This window comes from Homo sapiens, chromosome 20 (assembly GCF_000001405.40).
Source record: "Homo sapiens chromosome 20, GRCh38.p14 Primary Assembly".
Classification (NCBI taxonomy): Eukaryota; Metazoa; Chordata; class Mammalia; order Primates; family Hominidae; genus Homo; species Homo sapiens.
Genome location: NC_000020.11, coordinates 33,458,423 through 33,484,661, shown reverse-complemented (window position 1 = coordinate 33,484,661; position 26,239 = coordinate 33,458,423). Strand labels below are relative to the sequence as shown.

The 26,239-nt window shown below is 49.5% G+C and overlaps 1 annotated feature.

Annotated features, from left to right (window-relative positions):
• Window positions 6,656-7,571: an enhancer, noted in NCBI's record as "H3K27ac-H3K4me1 hESC enhancer chr20:32064897-32065812 (GRCh37/hg19 assembly coordinates)". NCBI's record gives its function as "activates a minimal SCP1, AML or CMV promoter by ChIP-STARR-seq in naive H9 embryonic stem cells {active_cell/tissue: H9 hESC(naive)}" and the evidence as "EXISTENCE:reporter gene assay evidence [ECO:0000049][PMID:30033119]".

Genomic DNA, 26,239 nt, shown 5'->3' with positions numbered 1-26,239 from the left:
TAGTCCTAGCTACTTGGGAGGCTGAGGTGGTAGGATCACGATGTCAGGAGATTGAGACCATCCTGGCCAACATGGTGAAACCCCGTCTCTACTAAAAATACAAAAATTGGCCGGGCATGGTGGCTTACACCTGTAATCCCAGCACTTTGGGAGGTCGAGACAGGCAGATCACCTGAGGTCAGGAGCTGGAGACCAGCCTGGCCAACATGGTGAAACCCCGTCTCTACTAAAGATACAAAAAAAATTAGCTGGACATGGTGGCAGGCGCCTGTAATCCCAGTTACTCGGGAGGCTGAGGCAGGAGAATCACTTGAACCCAGAGGCAGAAGTTGCAGTGAGCCAAGATCGTTCCATTGCACTCCAGCCTGGGGGACAAGAGTGAGACTTTGTCTCAAAAAAAAAAAAAAAATTAGCTGGGCGTGGTAGCGCGAGCCTGTAGTCCCAGCTACTCAGGAGGCTGAGGCAGGAGAATCCCTTGAACCCGGGAGGTGGAGGTTGCGGTGAGCCAAGATCGAGCCATTGCACTCCAGCCTGGGCAACAAGAGTTAAACTCCATCTCAAAAAAAAAAAAAAAAAAAAAGAAAGAAAGAAAATATTAGGAAATGGAATCTAACAATATATAAAAAGTATAATACATTATGAACAAATTAGGATTACCCAGGGAACACAAGGTTGATTCAAAAACTTGTTGTTTTTTTTTTGAGATGGAGTCTCGCTTTGTCGACCAGGCTGGAGTGTGGAGTACAGTGGTGTGATATTGGCCCACTGCAACCTCTGCCTCCCAGGTTCAAGCAATTCTCATACCTCAGCCTCCAAGTAGCTGGGATTACAGGTGTGCACCATGATGCCCAGCTTTTTTTTTTTTTTTTAGTAGAGACAGTGTTTCATCATGTTGGCCAGGCTGGTCTCAAACTCCCGACCTCAAGTGATCCGCCCACCATGGCCTCCCAAAGTGCTGGGATTACAGGCATAAGCCACCATGCCTGGCCACTTTTTTTGGGGGGGATGGAGTCCCTCTGTCGCCCAGGTTGGAGTGCAGTGGCACAATCTTGCTTCACTGCAACCTCCCCTCCTTGGTTCAAGCAATTCTCCTGCCTCTGCCTTGTCCTCCTGAATACCTGGGACTACAGGCACATGCCACCACGCACGGCTAATTTTTTGTATTTTTAGTAGAGACAGAGTTTCACCATGTTGGCCAGGCTGGTCTCAAACTCAAGTGATCCACCCGCCTCGGCTTCCCAAAGTGCTGAGATTATAGGCGTGAGCCACCACACTTGGTCTCATTCTACTGTTTCTGAAGATAAAACTTTGTTGCTAAGGGCCTGGACAAGGCCTGGTTTCAAAGATAGAGATTTCTCAAGTTCTGTGTGGTTTCAAATATAGAGACAATAAGTTAGTTGACACAAGTCACCAACCTTTTCTATTTATTTGTTATTCTTGCATAGTTCATGGTGGAATGTGTTTATGTTTTGGGGTGGGGGATAGGCCTTTGGGGAGCACATCAGAGCCATAAACCATTAACATTTACAAGTCAAGGGACAGGGCTAGGTGCCTTATAAACTGAATTTGACTTCAACCTTGCAATAACTAAATTTTCCAGCGCCAGGGAAGTTAAGAGATATTATAAGGTCAGCCTGAGTCTGAAGGTTACTCAGGTGATAGAACTTAATTCTGACATTCTTTTCACAGCCTTCTGGAAGCCTTGTAGACTTAGATAGACCTAAGGAAATTGCTTGAGGCCCTGGCTCTTTCTTGTCCAAGTCCAGTGACTGTTTTTCTTTAACTAGTGACGAGAAGGATAAAGATGGGCGTTAGGGAGAAGTGTGTGCTGCCTGCCATCTGCCCTGGCCATGCCCGTTCCGCTAATGAAGGATAAACACAAGGCCAGGCCAGATGACAGTCAGCGAGGGGAAGCGACTTAGAGGTGTTGGTCCTTCTTGGGTAAACAGGAGTCTGAAATACCCATGGCACTTTAAAAAAAATCTCTTTGTGTGCCAGAAAAATATTTGACAGGGCTGGGGCTTTTCTTTTCTTTTTTTTTTTTGAGACACAGTTTCACTCTTGTTGCCCAGGCTGGAGTGCAATGCACGGCATCTCTGCCTCCCGGGTTCAAACGATTTCCCTGCCTCACCGTCCCGAGTAGCTGGGATTACAGGCATGAGCCACCACACCTAGCTAATTTTGTGTTTTTAGTAGAGACGGGGTTTCTCCATGTTGGCCAGGCTGGTCTCGAACTCTGGACCTCAGGTGATCTACCCGCCTTGGCCTCCCAAAGTGCTGGGATTACAGGTGTGAGCCACTAGGCCCAGCAGCTGGGGCTTTTCTAATAAGCAAGGCTTTTTCTCCCAAAAAGGCTGAAGAGCCCAAAACTCCCAGAGGGAGAGATGAACGAGTTCTTTGGCTACTGGTTATATGATTAAAATTTATTATTGTTTATGCTTATGAGAGGAATGTGAGCATAGTCATGGTGAAGAATTTGTACACTACATAAGAAGATTGTGACAAAAATAACAGTGAATTCTTTTTTTCCTTAACTCTAATCTCATGACAGATTATCTTAATTCTTAACATTGAGGAATAGGCCAGGGAGGTGGTGGCTCATGCCTGAATCTCAGCACTTTGTGAGGCCAAGGTGGGAGGATTCCATGAGGCCAGGAGTTTAAGACCAGCCTGGGCAACATAGCAAAACCCCATTGGCCAGCTGCAGTGAGCAGTGATTATGCCACTACACTTCAGCCTGGACAATAGAGCAAGACTCTGTCTCAAAAAATAAAAAGAAAAAAGAAAGAAATTGTCACCATTTTACTGTATAGTATTCCCAACGTTTTTCTGTTCATGGACCTATTTACATAATTGAGATCATACTATTAGCACATTTCTGCATCCTGCCTTTTATTTTTTTAATATTTTTATTTATTTATTTATTTATTTATTTATTTATTTTGAGACAGACTCTTACTCTGTTGCCCAGGCTGGAGAGCAACGGCATTGATCTCGGCTCACTGCAACCTCCGCCTCCCAGGTTCAAGTGATTTTTCTGCCTCAGCCTCCTGAGCAGCCTGGGATTACAGGCACGTGCCAGCACGCCCAGCTAATTTTCATATTTTTAGTGGAGATGGGGGTTTCACCATATTGACCTGGCTGGTCTCGAACTCCTGACCTCAAGTGATCTACCTGCCTCGGCCTCCCAGAGTGTTGGGATTACAGCCACTTTGCCCAGCCTGCATCCTGCCTTTTGAAAAACTATCCTAGGCCTGGTGCTGTGGCTCGCACCTGTAATCCTGGCACTTTGGGAGGCCAAGGTGGGCAGATCACTTGAGATCAGGAGTTCAGACCAGACTGGCCAACATGGTGAAACCTCATCTCTACTAAAAATACAAAAATTAGCCGGGCGTGCTGGCACGCACCTGTAGTCCCAGCTACTCAGGAGACTGAGGCAGGAGAGTCGCTTCAACCCGGGAGGTGGATGTTGCAGTGAGCCAAGTTTGTGCCACTGCACTCCAGCCTGGGTGACAGAGTGGACTCTGTCTCAAAAAAAAAAAAAAAAAAAAAAAAAAGGCTGGCCACGGTGGCTCACACCTGTAATCCCGGCACTTTAGGAGGCCGAGGCAGGCAGATCACTTGGGGTCAGGAGCTTGAGACTAGCCTGGCCAATGCAGTGACACCCTGTCTCCACTCAAAATACAAAATTAGCCAAGTGTGGTGGCACACACTTGTTATCCCAGCTACTTGGGAGGCTGAGGCGGGAGGATTGCTTGAACTCAGGAGGCCGAGGTTGCAGTGAGCCGAGATCGGGCCACTGCACTCCAGCCTGGCAACACAGCGAGACTCCATCTCAAATAAATAAATAAATAAATAAATAAATAAAAGTTAAACAAATGACACCTCCAAGACTCTAATGTCCTTAAAATAAAATTCAAACTGCCCACCATGATCTACAAAGTCCTACATTGTTTGGACCCAGCCTATCACTTCCCTCACCTCTTCTTTTTTTTTTTTTTGAGACAGAGTTCCACTCTTGTCACCCAGGCTGGAGTGCAATGGGGCACCATCTCAACTCACTGCAACCTCCACCTCCCGGGTTCAAATGATTCTCCTTCCTCAGCCTCCCGAGTAGCTGGGATTACAGGCGCCCGCCACCACGCCCAGCTAAGTTTTGTATTTTTAGTAGAGGCAAAGTTTCACCATGTTGGCCAGGCTGGTCTCAAACTCCTAGCCTCAGGTGACCCACCCGCTTCGGCCTCCCAAAGTACTGGGATTACAAGCATGAGCTACTGAGCATGGCCCCATCACCTCTTCTTTACCTTCCACACCCGCAGAGCTTTTCATTCCCTCTGTCCCACCCCTTGTCCCAGTTGTTCAGGCTGGAGGGACAGAGAGACCTCTAGGCAGAGTGGGCGGGGCTGCACGCTGCAATCTTGGAGACCAGGGAAGGGATGTTTAAGCCTGAGGCCAAGGAAGGCATATACATGGTTTCATGAATGCCCTGGAGGACTGTGATTTGCTTTTTAAATTTTTCCTCTAAACAAATGGCCCTAGACAGGCTAAAAGAGAGGAGAAATCCAGATATTTGAAGCCTTCTTTGAGAATGTTAAAGACTTACCTGTTCAGAGCTGCCCACCCTTAGAGCAGAAGGTCCCAGATCTCATGCTGATGCATGTGAATCCCTAGGGGCCCTCAGAATTTGGTCTCAAACAGCAACCTGGCTATCAAGTCTGATTGTCTATGGGGGAGTGGTACAAAAGACACACTTTGGATAGGTCTGTTACTAGGCTGGGGTAAATCATAGTCTCTATGTGGCATTTCCCCATCTGTGAGAACAGCACCTGGCTTAGGGGCTGTGGGTAGTGGGTGAGAAAACCATATTAGGTGCTGTGCATGGCACCAAGCACAGAGCTTGTGCATTCTTCCCTCCATCACCAAACACATACCATGTGCCAAGCACTGTCCTGAGCATCAGGGCTACAACTGTGCACAAGACAGACCAAATTCCCACCCCACGGGGGAGGCATTCTGTGAGGGGACAGTGACCATGAACTGGCAATGAGCATAGTCAGTATACACTATGCTAGGTACTCCAAGGAAAAACAAGGCAGGAGAAAGGCAAGAGGTGCAACCCAACTTTTTTTTTTTTTTTTTTTTTTGAGACAGAGTCTTGCTCTGTTGCCCACGCTGGAGTGCAGTGGTGCGATTTCGACTGACTGCAACCTTGGCCTCCTGGGTTCAAGCGATTCTCCTGCCTCAGCCTCCCGAGTAGCTGGGATTACAGGCATGTGCCACCACGTCCGGCTAACTTTGTATTTTTAGTAGAGACAGGGTTTTGCCATGTTGGCCAGGCTGGTCTCGAACTCCTGACCTCAAGTGATCCGCCCGCCTTGGCCTCCCAAAGTGCTGGGATTACAGGTGTGAGCCACCGCACCCGGCCAAGTGCTACTTTATATAAGGAAGCAGAGAGAGTGTTCTCTAAGGAGGTGTTAATTAAACTCTAAAACCTGGAGAAGGTAAGACAGCCGCCAGGCTGAGTAAGGGTAGCAGGAACAAAGGCCCGGAGGCAGAAAGATGGCTGCACAGAAAGGACATCAGGATACAGCAGAGACTGAGAAAGGGGACTGCGGCCAGATAACGTGGGGCCTGGTAGGCCATAGTAAGAAATCTGACTTTATTTTTTATTTCTAATTTAATTTAATGTATTTATTTGAGACTGGGTCTCACTCTGTCACTCAGGCTGGAATGCAGTGGCACGATCATGGCTCACTGCAGCTTTGACCTCCTGGGCTCAAGTGACCCTCCCATCACAACCTCCTGAGTAGCTGAGACCACAGACACACCTGGCTAATTTTAAATTTTTTTTTTTTTTTGAGACAGAGTCTCACTCTGTTGCCCAGGCTGGAGTGCAGTGGCGTGATCTCCGCTCACCACAACCTCCACCTCCTGGGTTCAAGCGATTCTCCTGTCTCAGCCTCCCAAGTAGCTGGGACTACAGGCGCATGCCCCCATGTCCAGCTAATTTTTGTATTTTTAGTAGAGACGGGGTTTCACTATGTTGGCCAGGCTGGTCTTGAACTCCTGTCCTCGTGATCCGCCCGCCTCGGCTTCTCAAAGTGCTGGGATTACAGGCATGAGCCACTGCACCCAGCTAAAATTTTTTGTAGGGACAAGGTCTCTTTATGTTGCCCAGGCTGGTCTAGAGCTCCTGGGCTCAAGCAATCCTTCTATCTTGGCTTCCCAAAGTGCTGGGTTTATAGGCTTGAGCCACTGTGCTCTGCCAGGAATTTGAATTTGTTCTCCACAAATTTCAGAGCCTCTAGATAGTTTTGAGCAAAGGAGCGACATGATCATCCCTCTAGAGAGAAGGGTATGCCAGGGGAGGCAACGGTGGAAAACCACTGGGTGATTCTGGAGGGAGACCGTGATGGCTTGGAACAAGGTAGTGGCAGTAGAGATGGTGAGTAGGGGTTGGATGTGTGTTCTGTTTGAAGGTGGAGATGGTGGAGTTTGCTGATGGCTTGTTTGTGGGGTATGGAAAAGAGCAGGATGAAGGGTGACTCCAAGGTTCTGGGCTGAGCAGCTGAAAGGATGGAGCAGCCACAGGCTGAGGTGGTGACAGCTGTGGGATGAACAAACACATGCCAAGGGCGAAAGCAGGAGTTCAGGTCTGGGGATGTTAACTTTGGGATGTCTGCATGAGGGTGTAGATAGGATTGGGGTTTCTCCACTCCTGCTTTTCTCTGCTGGTGGTGTTGGGGCCACAGTGGATGTGGAATGTGTATAGGTTGAAATAATCTGAATGTGACTTATTCGCACCTTCCACAGCCTCCAGTGCAGATGAGCCTTGGCCTTTGTGAGGTTGCCAAGCCTTTCCTCCCCCTGCACTCTGGGCCTCCCATCTGGAGCACCTGCCCCAGGTGTCAGCTGTGCTGGAAACTGTTCATTCCAGGCCCAGACTTATTATGTGATCTTAAACTGCCTCTGGGAGATAGTGGGGACAGGGCCCACAATTCCCCAGGGCTTCCCTCCCTCGTCCACCTCCGAAGGTGGAGGCTTCTGCTGGCGCCTGGGACAGAGTTGGGTGCAGTTGTTTGCTTTACAACACCAACAATTGAGCCTATCCCCTCGGTGCCCCAGGGCACAGCTCCACACCTGTTCTCCAGCCTCCATCCCAGGTGCAGGCCCTGCAGAGAACAAAAGAACACCTTCGCACCAAGGTCATTGCAAGTACAAACTATGGAGGGTTAGGAACTATTTGCAGTTTCAGCCACCCACTGGGGGTTTTGGAATCTATGCCCAGAGGATACAGTGGGGGTGGGGTGGGGCAGATTACTGTGCCTCGATGGGCCTTGTTGGGGGTGAGGGGAAGAAAGGCTGCAGAGAAGAGAGCCCTATTCTGAAAAGGGAGAAAAACTCTGGAGAATTAGAGGGTTTGAATCAGCACTATCCCAGAGAACATTCTGCAGTGATCTGTGCAGCTCAGTATGATAGCCACCGCACATGGCTGTCGAGCACTTCAAATTTGGCTGGTGCAACTGAGGAACTAAAGTACCAATTTTATTTAATTTTAATTAATTGAAATTTAAATAGCCTAGTGGCCACCCAATGGACAGCACATGTTTCCTTTCCTTTTATTTTATTTTATTTATTTCGCTCTGTTGCCCAAGCAGGAGTGTAGTGGCTTGATTTCGGCTCACCACAATCTCCGCCTCCCGGGTTCAAGCGATTCTTCTGCCTCAGCCTCCCTATTAGCTGGGACTACAGGCTCGCGCTACCATGCCCGGCTAATTTTTCTTTGTTTGTTTGATTTTCTTTTTTTTTTTTTGAGACGGAGTTTCACTCTTGCTGCCCAGGTTGGAGTGCAATGGCACGATCTCAGCTCACTGCAACCTCTGCCTCCCAGGTTCAAGCGATTCTCCTGCCTCAACCTCCCAAGTAGCTGGAATTACAGGCGCCCGCCACCACGTCCGGCTAATTTTTTGTGTTTTTAGTAGAGACGGGGTTTCACCATGTTAGCCAGGCTGGTCTCGAACTCCTGACCTCGTGATCCACCTGCCTCAGCCTCCCAAAGTGCTGGGATTATAGGTGTGAGCCACTGTGACCGGCCAAATTTTTGTATTTTTAGTAGAGACGGGATTTCACTATGTTGGCCAGGCTGATCTCGAACTCCTTACCCCGTGATCCGCCCACTTCGGCCTCCCAAAGTGCTAGGATTACAAGCATGAGCCACTGCGCCAGGCCAGCACAGGTTTTAACAGTTAACTCTGGAGGATGTTTAGATAATAACAGCTCTTGTTTGTTGAACACCCACTTTATTCCAGGCACATCACACACATCTTACTCCTCGCAACCACTGTATAGGAAAGTGTTGCCTCCGTTTTACAGATAAGGAACAGTGGTGAAGCCACTGAGCAAAGTCCCAGAATGAGGAAGTGCTGAAGGCTGAAAGGGAACACCCAAAATCACATTTTATAACCCCACTCAAATAAATAAGCCCCAAGGACCAGGCTGGCTTTGTGGCAGTCTAGCTCTACACAAATGAATGGGGTGTGCAAATTGCTAAAAGATGCAAATCAGCCTCCGATTTGGGGGACAAAAGCTCAGACCCTCTGGTCACACCCTGAGTCTTTCTGGGCTGTGGGCGGATGGGGGCAGAGGCTGAGTGACAGGGAGGGACCTGGGAGGAGGGGGTATTGGGGTGGGGGTGGGGCTGGCCAGCTGGTGTCGGAGACCCAGGACATCAGCTGGCTGGCGGGCTGGCAGGCTCAGACAATGGGCGGGGGGCCTGGTTGGAACCCTCCTCCCTCTGTGCCTGGCCCTCTCTGCACCCTGGCCAGCTGCCATGACCACCTCTGGTCTGAGCCAGGGATCGTGGGGAGGAGGAGAGCATTGAGGGGGTTGAGGGGAGAGTGAAGGATGCTGGGGTGGACCGTCTGGAATGACCTAGGGTGGGAACGGGTTTGCAGAACAGGGGAGGTTAGGAAGGTCTCCTTGGTGCCAGACATTGCACAAGAGGATTTGCATGCGTCCTTCCGTTTGCTCCTCTCAAAGTCCCCCTGGTAATAGTAATAATAATTATTACCAACAATAGCAATCCGGTAGCTCATGCTGAGCCCACCTGGCTGGAGCTCAAGGTGTTATCTCAGTTAATCCTCACGACCGCCTTGGGAGTCAAGGACTTTTATTAGACCCTTTACCAAACCAGGCGCTCCAGGCTCAGAGCAGTTAAGGGACTTGTCTAACATCTCAGGGGTGGGAAAAAAAGGGTCTCTCTTCCACCTGAGGCTCTCACCCTTACTTTAAACTGAACACTTAATCTCTGGGATTGGGAGACTTTTCCCCAACCGATAAAGATATGTGAAATTCAAACTTTAGTGTAATTAGGAGAGTTTTGTTGAAACACAGCCACCCGTGTCGTGTCGTTATGTATTGTCTGTTTGCTCAAATTGTGCATGGCTGATTGCTGTGACAGCATCAGGAGCCACAGGTCTCAGCGCCAGTATGGTATATGGTTTAGTCTGTTTCTCTCTCTTTTTTTTTTTTTTTTGAGATACGGTCTCGCCCTGTCACCCAGGCTGGAGTGCAGCGGCACGATCTCAGCTCACCACAACCTCCGCCTCCCAGCTTCAAGTGATTCTCCACTTCAGCCTCTCGAGTAGCTGGGATTACAGGTGCACATCACCATGCTTGGCCCCATTTTTTAATTTTTGATACAGATGGGGTTTCACTATGTTGGCCAGGCTGGTCTTGAGCTCCTGACCTCAGGTGATCTGCCCGTGTCAGCCTCCCAAAGTGCTGGGATTACAGGCTTGAACCACCGCACACGGTCTGCCTATCCCTTCTCTAGTTGGCCTCTTACCCAGGAGCTGGCTCTGGAGGGGCAGCTGGAATCCAAACTCTCAGTTCCCCGAAGGTCCTCCTCCCTCTGGCATCCCCTGATCCTTGGCAGCTCTTATGCCCAGCAGGTCTTTTTGCATCCTGCTTGCAAGAATGTGATGTGGTATTCATGCATTCATTCTACACGTATGCACTGTGTGCCAGGCACTGGTCTAGGTAGGAGTTACAAACTAGATATGGTCCTTGTCTGCAGACATCAATCAGTCATCCAGCACATCTCTAAATACAAACAGTAAAAGGGCACGTGTGGTGCCTCACGCTTGTAGTTCCTGCAGTTTGAGAGGCTGAGGTGGGAGAATTGCTTGAGCCCAAGAGTTTGAGACCAGCCTGGGCAACATGGTGGCACCCTGTCTCTACAAAAGGTAAGAAAAATAGCTGGGCATGGTGGTGAATGCCTGTGGTCCCAGCTACTCAAGAGACTGAAGTGGGAGGATCACTTGGGCCTGGGAGGTGGAGGCTGTGGTGAAATGAGATTGCACCACTTCACTCCAGCCTGGGTGACAGAGAGAAATCTTGCCTCAAATAAATACATAATTAAATGCAAACAGTACAGAGTCCTGTGAACAGAGTGTGGGGAGCTTGAAGAGCATTTGACAGGGAAGCAAAGTTAACCTGGCTGTCAGGGAGAGCTTCCTGGAGCAGGTGATGGTAACATTCGAGATCTGAAAAATGAGTAGGTTCCAGGTGCTAGGACATCCCTTTCTGGACTCATCCGTCTGCATCATTTCAATTCCTTTCCCTGTCCTAGGAGTGTAGATCTCATCTCAGGTGAGACCTATTTTTTAGGGAGACGGGCACAGTGACTCCCCTCTCCACCCATGAATTGAAACATTGAGTGGGGGTGGAGCATGCTAGAGAAGGCAGGTAGACAACTTAACAGTCACTACTGTTTTTTGTTTGTTTGTTTGTTTGTTTGTTTGAGACTGAGTCTTGCTCTGTTGACCAGGATGAAGTGCAGTGGTGCAATCTCAGCTCACCTCAACCTCTGACTCCCAGGTTCAAGCAATTCTCATGCCTCAGCCTCCCACATAGCTAGAATTACAGGTGCCTGCCACCACACCTGGCTAATTTTTGTATTTTTAGTAGAGATTGGGGTTTTGCCATGTTGGCCAGGCTGGTCTTGAACTCTTGACCTCAGGTGATCCACCTGCCTCGGCCTCCCAAAGTGCTGGGAGTAGAGGTGTGAGCCACAGTGCCAGGCCCGGTTTATATAATTATTTTTAAAATAGTGACTGCATGCCTGTAGTCCCAGCTACTCAGGAGGATGAGGTGGGAGGATCACCTGAGCCCAGGAGATGGAGGCTGCAGTGAGCTATGGTTGTGCCACTGCACTCTAGCCTGGGTGACAGGGTGAGACCCTGTCTCAAAAAAAAAAAAGAAAAATTTAAAAATCTCTGTCTTGTTAGAGCTTCTTACATTCTAGCCGAGGAGGAGTAAGTAATGTATGTGACATATTGTTAAGTGGTGATAAACAGCATGGAAAAAAACAAAGCAGGTGGCAGACAGACAATTTGCAATAAGGAGGTCAGGGAAGGCCTCCCTGGGAAAACGACAGTTTGAGCAGAGATCTGAGCAATTTATGTGGGTATCTGGGGACGCCTGCATTGCTGGAACATCAAGATGCCATGAAATTCAAATCAATAGCACTCTCAAGTCATGAAATTCTGAGTAATAGGATTCTATGGCCATGAAATGCTAATCAATATTTCTGTGGTGCCATAAAATTCTAATCAATAGAATTCTCTGGTTGTGAAATTCTAACTAATAGAACTCAGAAGCCTTGAAATTCTAATCTATCAGGAAACTTCTAGATGAAGGAAAGCTTCTGGGGTGCAAAAGTCTCAGTGATCAGTGGGGCGCGGTGGTGCACGCCTGCAGTCCCAGCTACTACGGAGGCTGAGACAGGATGATCACTAGGAGTTTGAGGCTGCAATGAGCTATAACTGTGCCTATGAGTAGCTGCTGCACTCCAGCCTGGGCGACAGAATGAGACCCAGTCTCTTTTTCGTTTGTTTTTGAGAAGGAGTTTTGCTCTGTTGCCCAGGCTAGAGGGCAGTAGCACAATCTCAGCTTACTGCAACCTCTGCCTCCTGGGTTCAAGCAGTTCTCCTGTCTCAGCCTCCTGGGTAGATGGGACTATAGGCACATGTCACCATGCCTGGCTAATTTTTGTATTTTTAGTAGAGACAGGATTTCACCATATTGGTCAAGCTGGTCACGAACTCCTGACCTCAGGTGATCCACCCACCTCGGCCTCCCAAAGTGCCGGGATTACAGGCATGAGCCACCGCGCCTGCCCGAGACCCAGTCTCTTAAAAAAAAAAATTAGTGAGCTGGGCATGGTGGCTCATGCCTATAATGACTCTGAAATGGAGACTAAGTCTTGCTCTGTTGACCAGGATGAAGTGCAGTGGTGCAATTTCGGCTCACTGCAACCTCTGACTCCCAGGTTCAAGCAATTCTCATGCTTCAGCCTCCCACGTAGCTAGAATTACAGGCGCCTGCCACCATACCTGGCTAATTTTTGTATTTTTAGTAGAGATTGGGGTTTTGCCATGTTGGCCAGGCTGGTCTCGAACTCTTGACCTCAGGTGATCCACCCGCCTCGGCCTCCCAAAGTGCTGGGATTAGAGGTGTGAGCCGGGCATATTGGCTCACGCCTGTAATCCCCACTTTGGGAGGCCGAGGCGGGTGGATCACGAGGTCGGGAGATCGAGACCATCCTGGCTAACATGGTGAAACCCCGTCTCTACTAAAAATATAAAATCCAGGCAGATGTGGTGGTGGGCGCCTATAGTCCCAGCTACTTAGGAGGCTGAGGCAGGAGAATTGCTTGAACTCAGGAGGCGGAGGTCGCAGTGAGCGGAGATCGCACCACTGCACTCCAGCCTGGCCTGGGTAACAGAGCAAGACTCCGTCTCAAAAAAAAAAAAAAAGCATGAAAATAAAAAACAAAATTAGGGTTGAGCACGGTGGTTTATGCCTGTAATCCCAGCACTTTGGGAGGCTGAGGGGGGCGGATCACAAGGTCAAGAGTTCGAGACCAGCCCAGCCAATATGGTGAAACCCCGTCTCTACTAAGAATACAAAAATTAGCCAGACGTGGAGGCGCGTGCCTGTAATCCCAGTTACTCAGGGGCTGAGGCAGGAAAATCGCTTGAACCTGGGAGGTGGAGGTTGCAGTGAACCGAGATCGCACCACTGCACTCCAGCCTGGGTGACAGAGTGAGACCGTATGTCAAAAAAATAAATAAATAAAAAGAAAAAAAAATAATAATAGTAAAAGCTGCCACTGACTCTGCTCTGTGTCAGCCATGAAATCAAGCCTTCTACATTCTGCTTACTTAAGGATTGGCTCATGGATAGTGTTAGTCCTAAGACTATAGGCTATTTTCCTGCCTCATGGGCTTAATTAGACGCCACTTACAAAGTTCTTGGGACTTTCAGCTTCCTCCCCCCAGGTTATCCTTTCTGATTACATGTCCCCATCAAACTGTGGTGGTCCATGCTTCTTTGCTCCTGTTCATTTTCTTTCTTTCTTTTTTTTTTTTTTTTGAGAAAGAATCTCACTCTGTTGCCCAGGCTTGAGTACAGTGACAGGATCACAGCTCACTGCATTCTCAGCCTCCTGGGCTCCAGTGACCCTCCCATCTCAACCTTCCAAGTAGTTGGGACTGCAGGCGTATGCCGGCAGGCCCAGCCAATTTTTCAAAACATTTTTTGTAGAGATGGAGTCTTGCTGTGTTGCCCAGGCTAGTCTTGAACTCCCAAGCTGGAGCAATCCTCAGCCTGCCAAAGTGCTGGAATTACAGGCATAAGCTGTAATTACGCCTGGCTTCTTTGCTCCTGTTTTTTCCCTCTGCCTTTGCTCCTGTTTTTTTCCCTCTGCCTTTTCCAGATGTACTTTGTACATCTGGGCAAACTGAGGCTCCAAGAGGATTTATCCTCTTGGGGGATAAATCTTTGGGAAATCTTTTGGGGACTTCCCAAAGTCCCCCAAGAAGCATCCGCTGGATAAGGTCTCCACTCTTCAGGCTCCGCCAGTTATCTGGCACCTGTGTGACCTTGGGCAAGTTCACTAACCTCTCTGAGCTTGATTTTCACTTCCTGGAAATGGAAAAAGATGACTCTTACCTCCCAGCATTCTCGAGAGAAGTGATTAACTGAGGCAATGTGTACTTAGCACACTGATAAGCTCTCAAGGCCAGCTATTATTATTGTTCTCTGATTATTATTATTTAACTACAGTATAATCCTAATTATTCATACATATTCCAGCCCAGGGCTCTTTACCGTGCCTTAGAAAACTGTGCCCTGAGGCCTGATTTTAAGACCCAGACAGGCCCCCATTCTCCTCTCTGAGGACCTGGAGTCTGAGCTGATTACTGAAAGGAGTAATGAACTGGGGCAGGGGACAGGCACAATTACAGCTCACAGCAGCCTCCAACTCCTAGTGATTCTCCTGCCACAGCCTTCCAAGTAGCTGGGACTGCAGGCAGGCACCACCATGCCCCGCTGCTCTCTGAGATTTTTGCACCCCAGCAGCTTCCCTTCATCTGGAAGTTTTCCTGATTGATTAGAACTTCAAGCCTTCTGAGTTCTATTACTTAGAATTTCACAGCCAGAGAATTCTACTGTTTGGAATGTTATAGCATCACAGATGCTGGGAGTCTGGGGGCTGGGGATCGCCCTTGCTGCCTCCTGGTGTTGTGTGTGGCAGGGGACACTTGGCTCTTTCTGGGTCCCAGCCAGGCTCCTGGTGCCTCAATAAGACCCTATTTGGTTTGGAGCTTGCTGGTACTGGAAGGAGGCTTTGGGGGCCCAAGAAACCAAGATGAAGGTCACATAGCATCTGCAGACTGGGAAGGTACCACTGATGAAGCTCAGAAATGGTCTGGAAGTCATGGCCCTGAGGATCCCCCATGAGGCACCCAAGAATAGGACAGTTATGGTTCTGCAACCAAACAGATTGATGCTATTACTGTGTGACTTTCAGCAAATCTCTTGACCCATTTGAGACTCTATTTCCACATCAGAGAGCCGAATGATGTGGGCTCAGGCCAGGCTCAGTGCCTCATGCCTGTAATGTCAGCACTTTGGGAGGCCGAGGCAGGTGGATTGCTTGAGCCCAGAAGTTCGAGACCAGCCTGGGCAACATGGTGAAACCCCATCTGTACCAAAAATACAAAAATTAGCTGGGTGTGGTGGTGCACAACTGTAGTCCCAGCTACCTGGGAGGCTGAGGTAGGATGAGGAGCTGTGACTGTGCCACTGCACCCCAGCCTCGATGACAGCAAGACTGTCTCAAAAAAAACAAAAACAAAAACCTGCTCACTAGGGTTGTGAGGATTCAGAGCTTAGCAAGGGGCCTGGTGCTTGGCAAGTGCTCATTAAATATAAGTTATTACTATCACTGAGTTACTTAAACTTCCTGATGTGTAGGACCCTCTACTGAACTCTTGGGATCAGGATAAGGTTCCGTGGAAGGCACCAAATTATAGAGGGTAAGAATTTCAGTGCTAAGGTCAGATCCTACTTCTGCCATATGTGGCTGTGGGTGGCTCCCTGGACCCTCTGAGCCTCCTCCTCTTCCTCTTCTGCACAATGGGGATATATACATATATATATATATACACATATATATATATTTTTTTTTATTTGACACGGAGTTTCGCTCTTGTTGCCGAGGCTGAAGTGCAATGGCACTGTGTCAGCTCACTGCAGCCTCCGCCTCCCAGGTTCAAGCGATTCTCCTGCCTCAGCCTCCCGAGTAGCTGGGATTACAGGTGCGCACCACCATGCCCAGCTACTTTTTTGTATTTTTATTGGAGACGAGGTTTCACCATGGCCAGGCTGGTCTTGATCTCGTGACCTCAGGTGTTCCCCCTGCCTCAGCCTCCCAGAGTGCTGGGATTACAGGCGTGAGCCACTGCGCCCGGCCTTTTTTTTTTTTTTTTTTTTTTTTTTGAGACAGAGTCTCACTCTGTTGCCCAGGTTGAAGTGCAATGGTGTGATCTTGGCTCATTGCAACCTCTGCCTCCCAGGTTCAAGTGATTCTCCTGCCTCAGCTTTCCAAGTAGTGGGGATTACAGGAGCCTGCCACCACGCCCGGCTGTTTTATATTTTTAGTAGAGACAGGGTTTCCCCATGTTGGCCAGGTTGGTCTTGAACTCCTGGCCTCAAGTGATCCGCCCGCCTCGGTCTCCCAAAGTGCTGGAATTATAGGGTTGAGCCACCGCATCCATCCCTATATACATATGTAGGGATGCACCATCTCAGTTCACTGCAACCTCCGCCTCCGGGGTTCAACAATTCTACTGTCTCAGCCCTCTGAGTAGCTGGGATTATAGGCATGCGCCACTAGGCCAGGCTACTTTTTTGTCTTTTTAGTAGAGACGGGGTTTCACCATGTTGCCCAGGCTGGTCTCAAATTCCTGATCTCAGGTCATCTGCCTGCTTCGGACTCCTAAAGTGTTGGGATTATAGGTGTAAGTCGTGGTCCATCTGTATTTTTTTATTTTTTGAGACATGGTCTTGCTCTGTCACCCAGACTGGAGTGCAATGGTGTGATCTAGGCTCACTCCAACCTGTGCCTCCCAAGTTCAAGCGATTCTCCTACCTCAACCTCCCAAGTAGCTGAGATTACAGGTGCACGCTACCATGCCCAGCTAATTTTGTATTTTTAGTAGAGACGGGGTTTCACCATGTTGGCCAGGCTGGTCTCAAACTCCTAACCTCAAGTGATCTGCTCACCTCAGCCTCCCAAAGTGTTGGGATTACAGGCGTGAGCCACTGCACTGGCCCATCCCATCTGTATTTTTTTTTTTTTTGAGAGGAAGTCTTGGCTCACTGCAACCTCTGCCTCCCAGGTTCAAGGGATTCTCTTGCCTCAGCCTCTCCAGTAGCAGGGATTACAGGCACCTGCCCCACGCCTGGCTAATTTTTGTGTTTTTAGTAGAGATGGGGTTTCGCCATGTTGGCCAGGCTGGTCTCGAACTCCTGAGCTCAAGTAATCCATCTGCCTCAGCCTCCTCAAGTGCTGGGATTAAAGGTGTGAGCCACATCTGGCCCGTATTTTTTTTAAATCCCACTTTAAACACCCATCGGATGGCTATTATAAAAACAGCCCATGGCCGGGCGCGGTGCCTCACACCTGTAATTCCAGCACTTTGGGAGGCCAAGATGGGTGGATTATCTGAGGTCAGGAGTTCGAGACCAGCCTGGCCAACACGGTGAAACCCCCTCTCTACTAAAAATACAAAAATTAGCCAGGTGTGGTGGCACATGCCTGTAATCCCAGCTCCTCGGGGGGTGGCTGAGGCAAGAGAATAGCTTGAACCCAGGAGGCTGAGGTTGCAGTGAGCCGAGATCGCAGCACTGCACTCCAGCCTGGGCAAAAAAGCGAAACTCCGTGTCAAAAAATAAAAAGAAAAAAAAAGAAATTATGCCATTTGTTTGTGGCTGGGACCAGTGGCTCATATCTGGATTCCCAGCACTTTGGGGGGCTGAGGTGAGCGGATCACCTGAGGCCGGGAGTTCAAGACCAGCCTGACCAACATGGAGAAACCCTGCCTCTACTAAAAAATTTGCTGGGGGTGGTGGCGCATGCCTGTAACCTCAGCTACTCTGGAGGCTGTGGCAGGAGAATCGCTTGAACCCAGGAGGTGGAGTTTACAGTGAACCGAGATGGTTCCATTGCACTCCCGCCTGGGCAACAAGAGTAAAACAAAAACAAAAACAAAAACATCCCATGAGCCTGGTCAACATAGTGAGACCCCATCTCTACAAAAAGTTTAAACATTAGCCAGGTGTGGTGGCACACACCTGTAAGTCCCAGCTACTTGAGAGGCTGAGGTGGGAGGAATGCTTGAGACCAAGAGTTCAAGGCTGCAGGGAGCTATGACCATGCCACTGCACTCCAGCCTGGGCATCAAAGGAAGATGCTGTCCCTTAAAAAAAAAAAGTGGCCGGGTGTGGTGGCTCACACCTATAATCCCAGCACTTTGGGAGGCCGAGGTGGGTGGATCACCTGGGGCCAGGAGTTTGAGGCCAGCCTGACCAACATGGGGAAACCCCATCTCTACTAAAAATACAAAAATTAGCCAGGCGTGGTGGTGGGCGCCTGTAATCCCAGCTACTTGGGAGGCTGAGACGGGAGAATGGCTTGAACCCAGGAGGCGGAGGTTGCAGTGAGCTGAGATTGCACCACTGCACTTCAGCCTGGGTGACAGTGAGACTGTCTGAAAAAAAAAAAAAAAAAAGAGCTTAGGAGTGCTCACCATTTGAGAAGAAGCTCTTGATACATTGAAGAGTAAAGTGTTGTCTGAAAAAGGGAAGTATTTGCCAAGGTGAACCAACTTCTTGCAAAAAAAAAAAAAAAAATTGGTTTGCAAGAGTTTCCTGAGGCAAACGGTGAGGCTATTTATTGGTTTACAGTCTTATCTTTCCAGGTAAGAATTTCTTGAAACAGTCAAATCTTGTTGACATAGAGGACCTCAGTTCTCAGCCTTAATCATTGAATATGATTGTCTCAGTTTTTATATTTATCCTGTTCCCTATTGATGGGCGCTTACTTTTCTTCTGGTATTTCACTATCACATGCTATGCTTCAATGACACCTTGTGCACAGGGGTGAGTTTCACTGGGGCCCCACCTAGAAGTGGAATTGCTGGGTAGTGAGACGTGAGTATCTTCAATTTTCCTAGGGTCCTAGATTCTTTCTAATCCATCTCCCTGCCTCCCAGAAGAGGAAAGCCTCTCTCCACAGCCACCACAGCAGACGGCAGGAACTGCCAGGGCTTTGCCCACACCGGCTGCTTGCCCACCCGCCTGCCCTCCCTTGTTCTGGCAGATTAATGGTGACCTGTGACCCTGACAGGCTGGCCACACTCCCGGCCAATTTCAGTCTGTCAAAAGGAGTCCCAGGGGTGGTCAGGGCCTAGGGATGTGTTAGCCAGATGGGCCTGGGAGGTCTCGGGTTGGCTTATCCCAGGAGGCAGAGCAGGTGGGCAGCCCTCAGCAACACCCCCCCAACATTCTCCTCATCATGCATCACTGGGCTGGAGCTGGAGCCAGATGGTGGGGATGGGGAGGCTTGCAGCTTCTGCCCTGACAAAGGATCCTCTATACTGCACCCCCACCCTGACCCTGACCAGCTTGGCTAGTCTAGTCTGTGGCTGCCCAATCACTCTCAGCCCTGGCCTGTCCCACCCCGGGGTGCCTTTCTGCTGAGATCTTCTCTTCCTGATCCTGTTTGTAGAGGAAGTCTGCAACGTTCCTGGAGACTCTTGGACTTGGAAACTCACTTATCATCAACTTGAGAGTGAGCAGGTAAAACCAAGGCAGCATGGCCCCGTGGTTATAACATGTCATAGATTCAAATGCAGTAATAGGATTAAGTGCAATGGGCCAGGTGGCAAACTGGTGTCTGGCTCTCAGTGAGCCCTCATCAACAGAGTCTCTGACTGCTATGAATGGGGAAACTGAGGCCTAGAGTGGAGGATGCTTGCAGAAGAGCCTCATGGTTAGGAGGTTAGGCTTGGGAGTCAGGCCTACCTGCGTTAATCCAGATCTGCTACTGAGAGTGAGTCCTTGGGCAGATCACCTAAGCTCTCAATTTCCCCAGCTGAAATGCAGCCCCCTGAGGCCTCATCATAGAGAACAGTCCTGAGGATGAGGAAAGATAATGCAAGGAAGGCATCTGGCAGATAGTAAGGACTCAGTACGTGCGTCCTAAACCTCATCATCCTTGATTTTCTCCTTCCTTCTTTCCTTCCTTCCTTCCTTCCTTCCTTCCTTCCTTCCTTCCTTCCTCTCTCTCTCTCTCTCTCTCTCTCTCCCCCTCTCTCTCTCTCGCTTTCTTTCCTTCCTTTCTTTCTCTCTGTTTCTCTCTCTCTCTCTCTCTGTCGCCGAGGCTGGAGTGCAGTGGCACGATCTCAGGTCACTGTAACCTCCGCCTCCCGGGTTCAAGTGATTCTCCTACCTCAGCCTCCCATGTAGCTGGGACTACAGGTACTTGCCACCACACCTGGCTAATTTTTTGTATTTTTAGTAGAAACAGGTTTCACCGTGTTAGCCGGGATGGTCTCGATCTCCTGACCTCGTGATCTGCCTGCTTCGGCCTCCCAAAGTGCTGGGATTACAGGCATGAGCCATAGTGCCCAGCTTTCCTTCCTTCTTCCTTTCAAGATGAAGTCTCTGTGTTGCCCAGGCTGGAGTGCAGTGGCACGATCTTGGCTCACTGCAACCTCCGCCTCCTGGGTTCAAGTGATTCTCCTGCCTCAGCCTCTCATGTACTGGGATTACAGACGCCTGCCACCATGCCCAGATAACTTTTGTATTTTTGGTAGAGACAGGGTTTTGCCATGTTGGTCAGCCTGGTTTTGAACTCCTGACCACAAGTGATCTGCCTGCCTCAGTCTCCCAAAGTGCAGGGATTACAGGTATGCGGGTATGAGCAACCATGCCCAGCCTTTTTTTTTTTTTTTGAGACAGGGTCTCTTGGGCTGGGTGCGGTGGCTCACGCCTGTAATCCAAGCATTTTAGGAGGCCGAGGTGGGTGGATCACCCGAGGTCAGAAGTTTAAGACCAGCCTGGCCAACATGGTGAAACTGTGCCTCTACTCAAAATACAATAATTAGCCAGGTGTAGTGGCATGCACCTGTAATCCCAGCTACTCAGGAGGCTGAGGCTCAAGAATCACTTGAATCTGGGAGGTGGAATTTACAGTGAGCTGAGATGGTGCCACTGCACTTTAGCCTGGGTGACAGAGTGAGACTCTCTCTCAAAAAAAAAAAAAAAAAAGAGACAGGGTCTCTTACTGTCACCCAATGTGGAGTGTAGTGATGCAATCTCGGCTCACTGCAACCTCTGCCTCCTGGGGTCAAGAGATCCTCCCACCTCAGCCTCCTGAGTAGCTAAGACTACAGGTGTGCACCACCAGGCCCAGCTAATTTTTGATTTTTTTGTAGAGACAGGGTTTCACTGTGTTACCCAGGTTGGTCTCGAAGTCCTGAGCTCAAGCAATCCTCCCACCTTCGCCTGCCAAAGTGCTGGGATTATAGGGGTGAGCCACTGCTCCTGGCCCCTTTCCTGTGTCTTTCGTTTCTTCCTTCCTTCTCTCTTTCACCATTTCTCAGAAGTGGGTGGTTCAAAGATTTTCCCTGACTTGGGGAAGAGCACATGAGAGCCCAGGCAGGCTGGGGAGGCAAGCAGGCCAGGGTGAGACACAGGGCTGCAGCCCGGCCAGCACTCACGTGGGGCTGCCTCCAGGAATCCCTCCCCACACACAGAGCCTGGGCACCTTTCAACTGGCTCCTTGCTGCCAAGCGAAGTCTATTAATATCAAAGTAATGAGGTAATTACTGTGATTTAGAAAAATTACTAGTGAATGCTTTTGAGGGAATTTCAGAGCAGAGAATAGGGTAAGTGAAACATCTGTGAGGAAAGGGATGCAGGGCCGTCAGCGATGAATCCTGAGGGTGGGTGAGCTCTGGCCTGCGTGGGGCAGGGTAGGGGGGCTTGGAGGGGACCACCCCAGGGTCATGCATGTGCATGGGACTTTTGGAGTAAATAATAGGGGAGGAGTGTGTGTGTTTGCGTGTGTGTGTGTGTGTAACCAGGGTGTAGGATTTTCAGGCCCTAGGAGCACCCTGACTTTGGCTGGTACAAAGCAGCAGATTCCAGGGTGAAGAACAAAACCTGGAGCCAGAGGCCAACCCCTTTTCACAATCCCAGCCTCTGACTATCCTTGACTGATCTCCACCCACAGAATCCCCCCAGCCCTGAGGCCACCAGCCTGGAGAAGGGTTAGATGAGTAAAGAGAAATTGGGCAGAGCTCATGAGAGAAATTGGGCAGAGCTCAGAAGCAGAGGTTGTCAAAGTGTGACTCTTGGACTGACAGCATGGTCATCGCCTGGGAACTTGCTAAAAATACACATTCTCAGGCTGCTGCAGAGCCACTGAATCAGTAACTCTGGGGTGGGGACTGGTGACCTGTTGTCGTTGCTTTTGAGATGGAGCCTCGCTGCGTTGCCCAGGCTGGAGTGCAGTGGCGTGATCTCGGCTCACTTCAACCTCCACCTCCCAGGTTCAAGCCATTCTCCTGTCTCAGCCTCCTGAGCAGCTGGGATTACAGGCTCAGGCCACCACACCAAACCTGACAATCTGTTTTAAGGAGCCCCTAATAGAGGCATGAAATGATAGGAAGGGCCAGGCCTGGGAAATGGAGGCCAGAGACTGCTTTGAGAGGCTTTTAGGAGGTTGAATCTGTAGGAATTGGTACCAGGGTGGGTGTGGAAGAAAGTACAGCAGTAGTAGTTGTAGTAATAATAATAACAGTAATAATGACTTGAACATGTATTGTGCCCGTTCTGTGCTCTTATTTAATCCTCACAACAAGCCTAAGAGGCAGCTACTATTCTGATCCCAATTTTTCACATAGGAAACTAAAGTACAGAGAGGCTGACTGCCCAAGGCCACACAGCTGGTAGTTGGTGGAGCTGGGATGCAATTTCAGCCTTCAGATGCTGGGTTTTTGCCTCCTCTCTAATGCCAGGCTGCTTTGGTAATCTGAAGAGGGTTATTGGTGACCTGAGTAAGCAGTAAGGGCTGCCAGGGGAGAAGTAACTTCCAGGGAAGCTAACACTGTTTTGTTTTTGAATTTACTGAGCACTTACTACACTTACTATGTGCTAGGCATGATGCAAAGCATTTGCTAGTGCACTGTCACATTTATTTATTTATTATTATTATTTTTTGAGATGGAGTCTCACTCTGTCACCCAGGCTGGAGTGCAATGGCATGATCTCGGCTCACTGTAACCTCCGCCTGCCAGCTTCAAGCAATTTTCCTGCCTTAGCCTTCTGAGTAGCTGGGATTACAGGCACCTGCCACCATGTCCAGCTAGTTTTTGTATTTTTAGTAGAGAGGGGGTTTCACCATGTTGGCGAGGCTGGTCTCGAACTCCTGACCTCGTGATCCGTCTGCCTTGGCCTCCCAAAGTGCTGGGATTATAGACGTGAGCCACCTCGCCCTGCCTAATTTTGTTTTTTTTTTTTTTTTGGAGACGGAGTCTCGCTCGGTCACCCAGGCTGGAGTGCAGTGGCACGATCTTGGCTCACGGCAAGCTCCGCCTCCTAGGTTCACGCCATTCTCCTGCCTCAGCCTCCCGAGTAGCTGGGACTGCAGGTGTCCGCCACCACGCCTGGCTAATTTTTTGTATTTTTTTTAAGTAGAGATGGGGTTTCACCATGTTAGCCAGGATGATCTCGATCTCCTGACCTCGTGATCTGCCCGTCCTGGCCTCCCAAAGTGCTGGGATTACAGGTGTGAGCCACCGTGCCCGGCCCTAATTTTGTATTTTTAATAGAGACAGGGTTTCGCCATGTTGGCCAGGCTGTCTTGAACTCCTGACCTCAGGTGATCTGCCCACCTAGGCCTCCCAAAGTGCTGGGATTACAGGTGTGAGCCACTGGGCCTGGCCTACTGTCACATTTAAGTGTCACACTGATCCTCTAGGTACTATAATGATTCCATCTTCCAAATGATCTAATTGAGGCTCAGAGAGAGAGAGTTGCCTGCCCAAGATCACATAGTCTTTTTTTTTTTTGGACACAGGGTCTCACTCTGTTACCTAGGCTGGAGTAGTGCAGGGGCTGCATCAAGGCTCACTGCACCCTTGATCTCCTGGGCTCAAGCGATCCTCTCACCTTGGCCCCCTGAATATCTGGGACTACAGGTGCACGCCACCACGCTTGGCTAATTTCTGATCTTTTGTAGAGATGGTTCCTCACTCACAAATGTGAGCCACCACGCCCAGCAATCACATAGGCTTTGTGTTTGTGTCAGGTGCGAATCAGCCTAGTTATGCTAACTCTGATTGGGAGGTGGGGGTGGGAGGGAAGTTTTGTGATGACTCAATGGCCAATTAAATGTTTACAAATTCATGGTTTATTGAGAGGCTTTCACACCAACACATAGGCAGTAATGAGAGAGGAGGAACAAGCCACAGGGAGTAGCTCCAGTAGCTCTGGGATGACTGTGCTGACTGTTTTCCCTCAGAATGCCAACAAGGGTTGGGGGGCTGAAGGGGTGGGGGGGCCGAGGCTCTTCTCCCAGCAGAGCTTCGGAGGGTTGCCTGATGGAAAAGAGGCCTCAGAGTTCTCACTGGTAGAGCTCCCACAGGCATCTCTGCCATGGCCAGTTTCTTTTTCTTTTCTTTCTTTTTTGAGACAGGGTCTCGCTGTGTTACCCAGGCTGGAGTGCAGAGGCATCATCACGGCTTACTGCAGCCTCATCCTCCCTAGCTCACGTGATCCTCCCACCTCAGCCTCAGGGGTAGCTGGGACTACCGGCGTACACCGCCTAGCTTTTTTTTTTTTTTTTTTTCAGAGACTGAGTCTTGCTCTATCACCCAGGCTGGAGTGCAGTGGCACGATCTTGGCTCACTGCAACCTCTGCTTCCTGGGTTCAAGCGATTTTCCTGCCTCACCCTCCCGAGTAGCTGGGACTACAGGCATGTGCCACCATGCCCGGCTAATTTTTTTTGGTATTTTTAGCAGAGATGGGGTTTCACCATGTTGGCCAGGATGGTCTCGAACTCCTGACCTCAAGTGACCGCCTGCCTTGGCCTCCCAAAGTGCTGGTATTACAGGCGTGAGCCACCGTGCCTGGCCAACTTTTTAAAGTTTTTGTAGAGATGAGGTCTCCCTATGTTGCCAGGCTTATCTTGAACTGCTGGGTTCAAGCAATCTCCTTACTTCATCCTTCCAAAATGTTGGGGTTACAGGTATGAGCCATGACGCCCCGTGATGGTCAGTTTATTGCGGTGTTCATGGCCCTCTGCAAGAGTCTCCATAGCCATTATCTCAGCTGCCCTGTGGCTTCTCTTTCTTGTTAGGTCTTGGGGGTGCCTGACCACAGCAGGTGTTATCCCCTCTGTCCACCGTACACTTTGAGAGGTCAGCAGTTTAACTGTAGGCTGAGTCACTTGTCATAAGTGACTCCATTTTGACATGTTTAGGATCACAAAACATTATTATCTATCACATAGTGAGTGGCAAGGCAGCAGGAATTTGGAATCGTGGCTCTTAATCCAGATAGGCAGACCCTAGTCTCGGTGGGGATCGCCCTTGCACAGGGGGTGCCTCCCTGCTTCCTGCTCACCTGGGATGCCACTCTATGTTACCAGTACCAAGGACAGGACCAGGGACACAGTGACAGTGAATATCTGTTAAATGACATTTTAACATTTGTTTAAATAAAAACAGTCCATTACCTCTATTGTGGAGTAGAAAAGCAAACAAACAAACAAATAACTAAAATAAAGCCAGGGGAAGGAACTGAAGTTCATGGAGTCTCTCATGTGCCAGGTACTTTGCTTACACAAGGCCAATTTAGTGCTTTCAGAACCCTCCAGTCTTTTGTTTTATTATCCTCATTTTACAGATGAGAAAAGTGAGACAGCGAGGAAGTGACCTGTTACCTGTTTGAGGTCACATGATGAGGCCGTGGGAAAATCAGGGTTTGATACCCTTGGTCTGACCCCCACACCGTGTGTTTTTTTTTTTTTTTTTTTTTTACAAAGTCTCAGCCAGGCACAGTGGCTCATGCCTGTAATCCCAGCACTTTGGGAGGCCAAGGCAGGTGGATCACCTGAGGTCAGGAGTTCGAGACCAGCCTGGCCAACATGATGAAACCCCATTTCTACTAAAAATACAAAAAATGAGCCGGGCATGGTGGCATGCACCTGTAATCCTAGCTACTCAGGAGGCTGAGGCAGGAGAATTGCTTGAACCTGGGAGGCGGAGGTTGCAGTGACCCGAGATCGAGCCATCATACTCCTGCCTCGGCAAAAACAGCGAAATTCAGTCTCAAAAAAAAAGAGACGAGTCTCGCTCTGTCGCCAGGCTGGAGTGCAGTGGCGCGATCTCTGCTTACTGCAACCTCCGCCTCCCGGGTTCTAGCGATTCTCCTGCCTCAGCCTCCTGAGTAGCTGGGACTACAGTCACATGCCACCATGCCCAGCTAATTTTTGTTTTTTTTTTTTTGAGACGGAGTCTCACTCTGTCGCCCAGGCTGGAGTGCAGTGGCGCGATCTCGGCTCACTGCAAGCTCCGCCTCCTGGGTTCAAGCCATTCTCCTGCCTCAGCCTCCCGAGTAGCTGGGACTGCAGGTGCCCGCCACCACGCCCGGCTAATTTTTTGTATTTTTTTTAAGTAGAGATGGGGTTTCACCATGTTAGCCAGGATGGTCTTGATCTCCTGACCTCCTGATCCGCCCACCTCGGCCTCCCAAAGTTCTGGGATTACAGGCGTGAGCCACCGCGACTGGCCTAATTTTTGTATTTTTAGC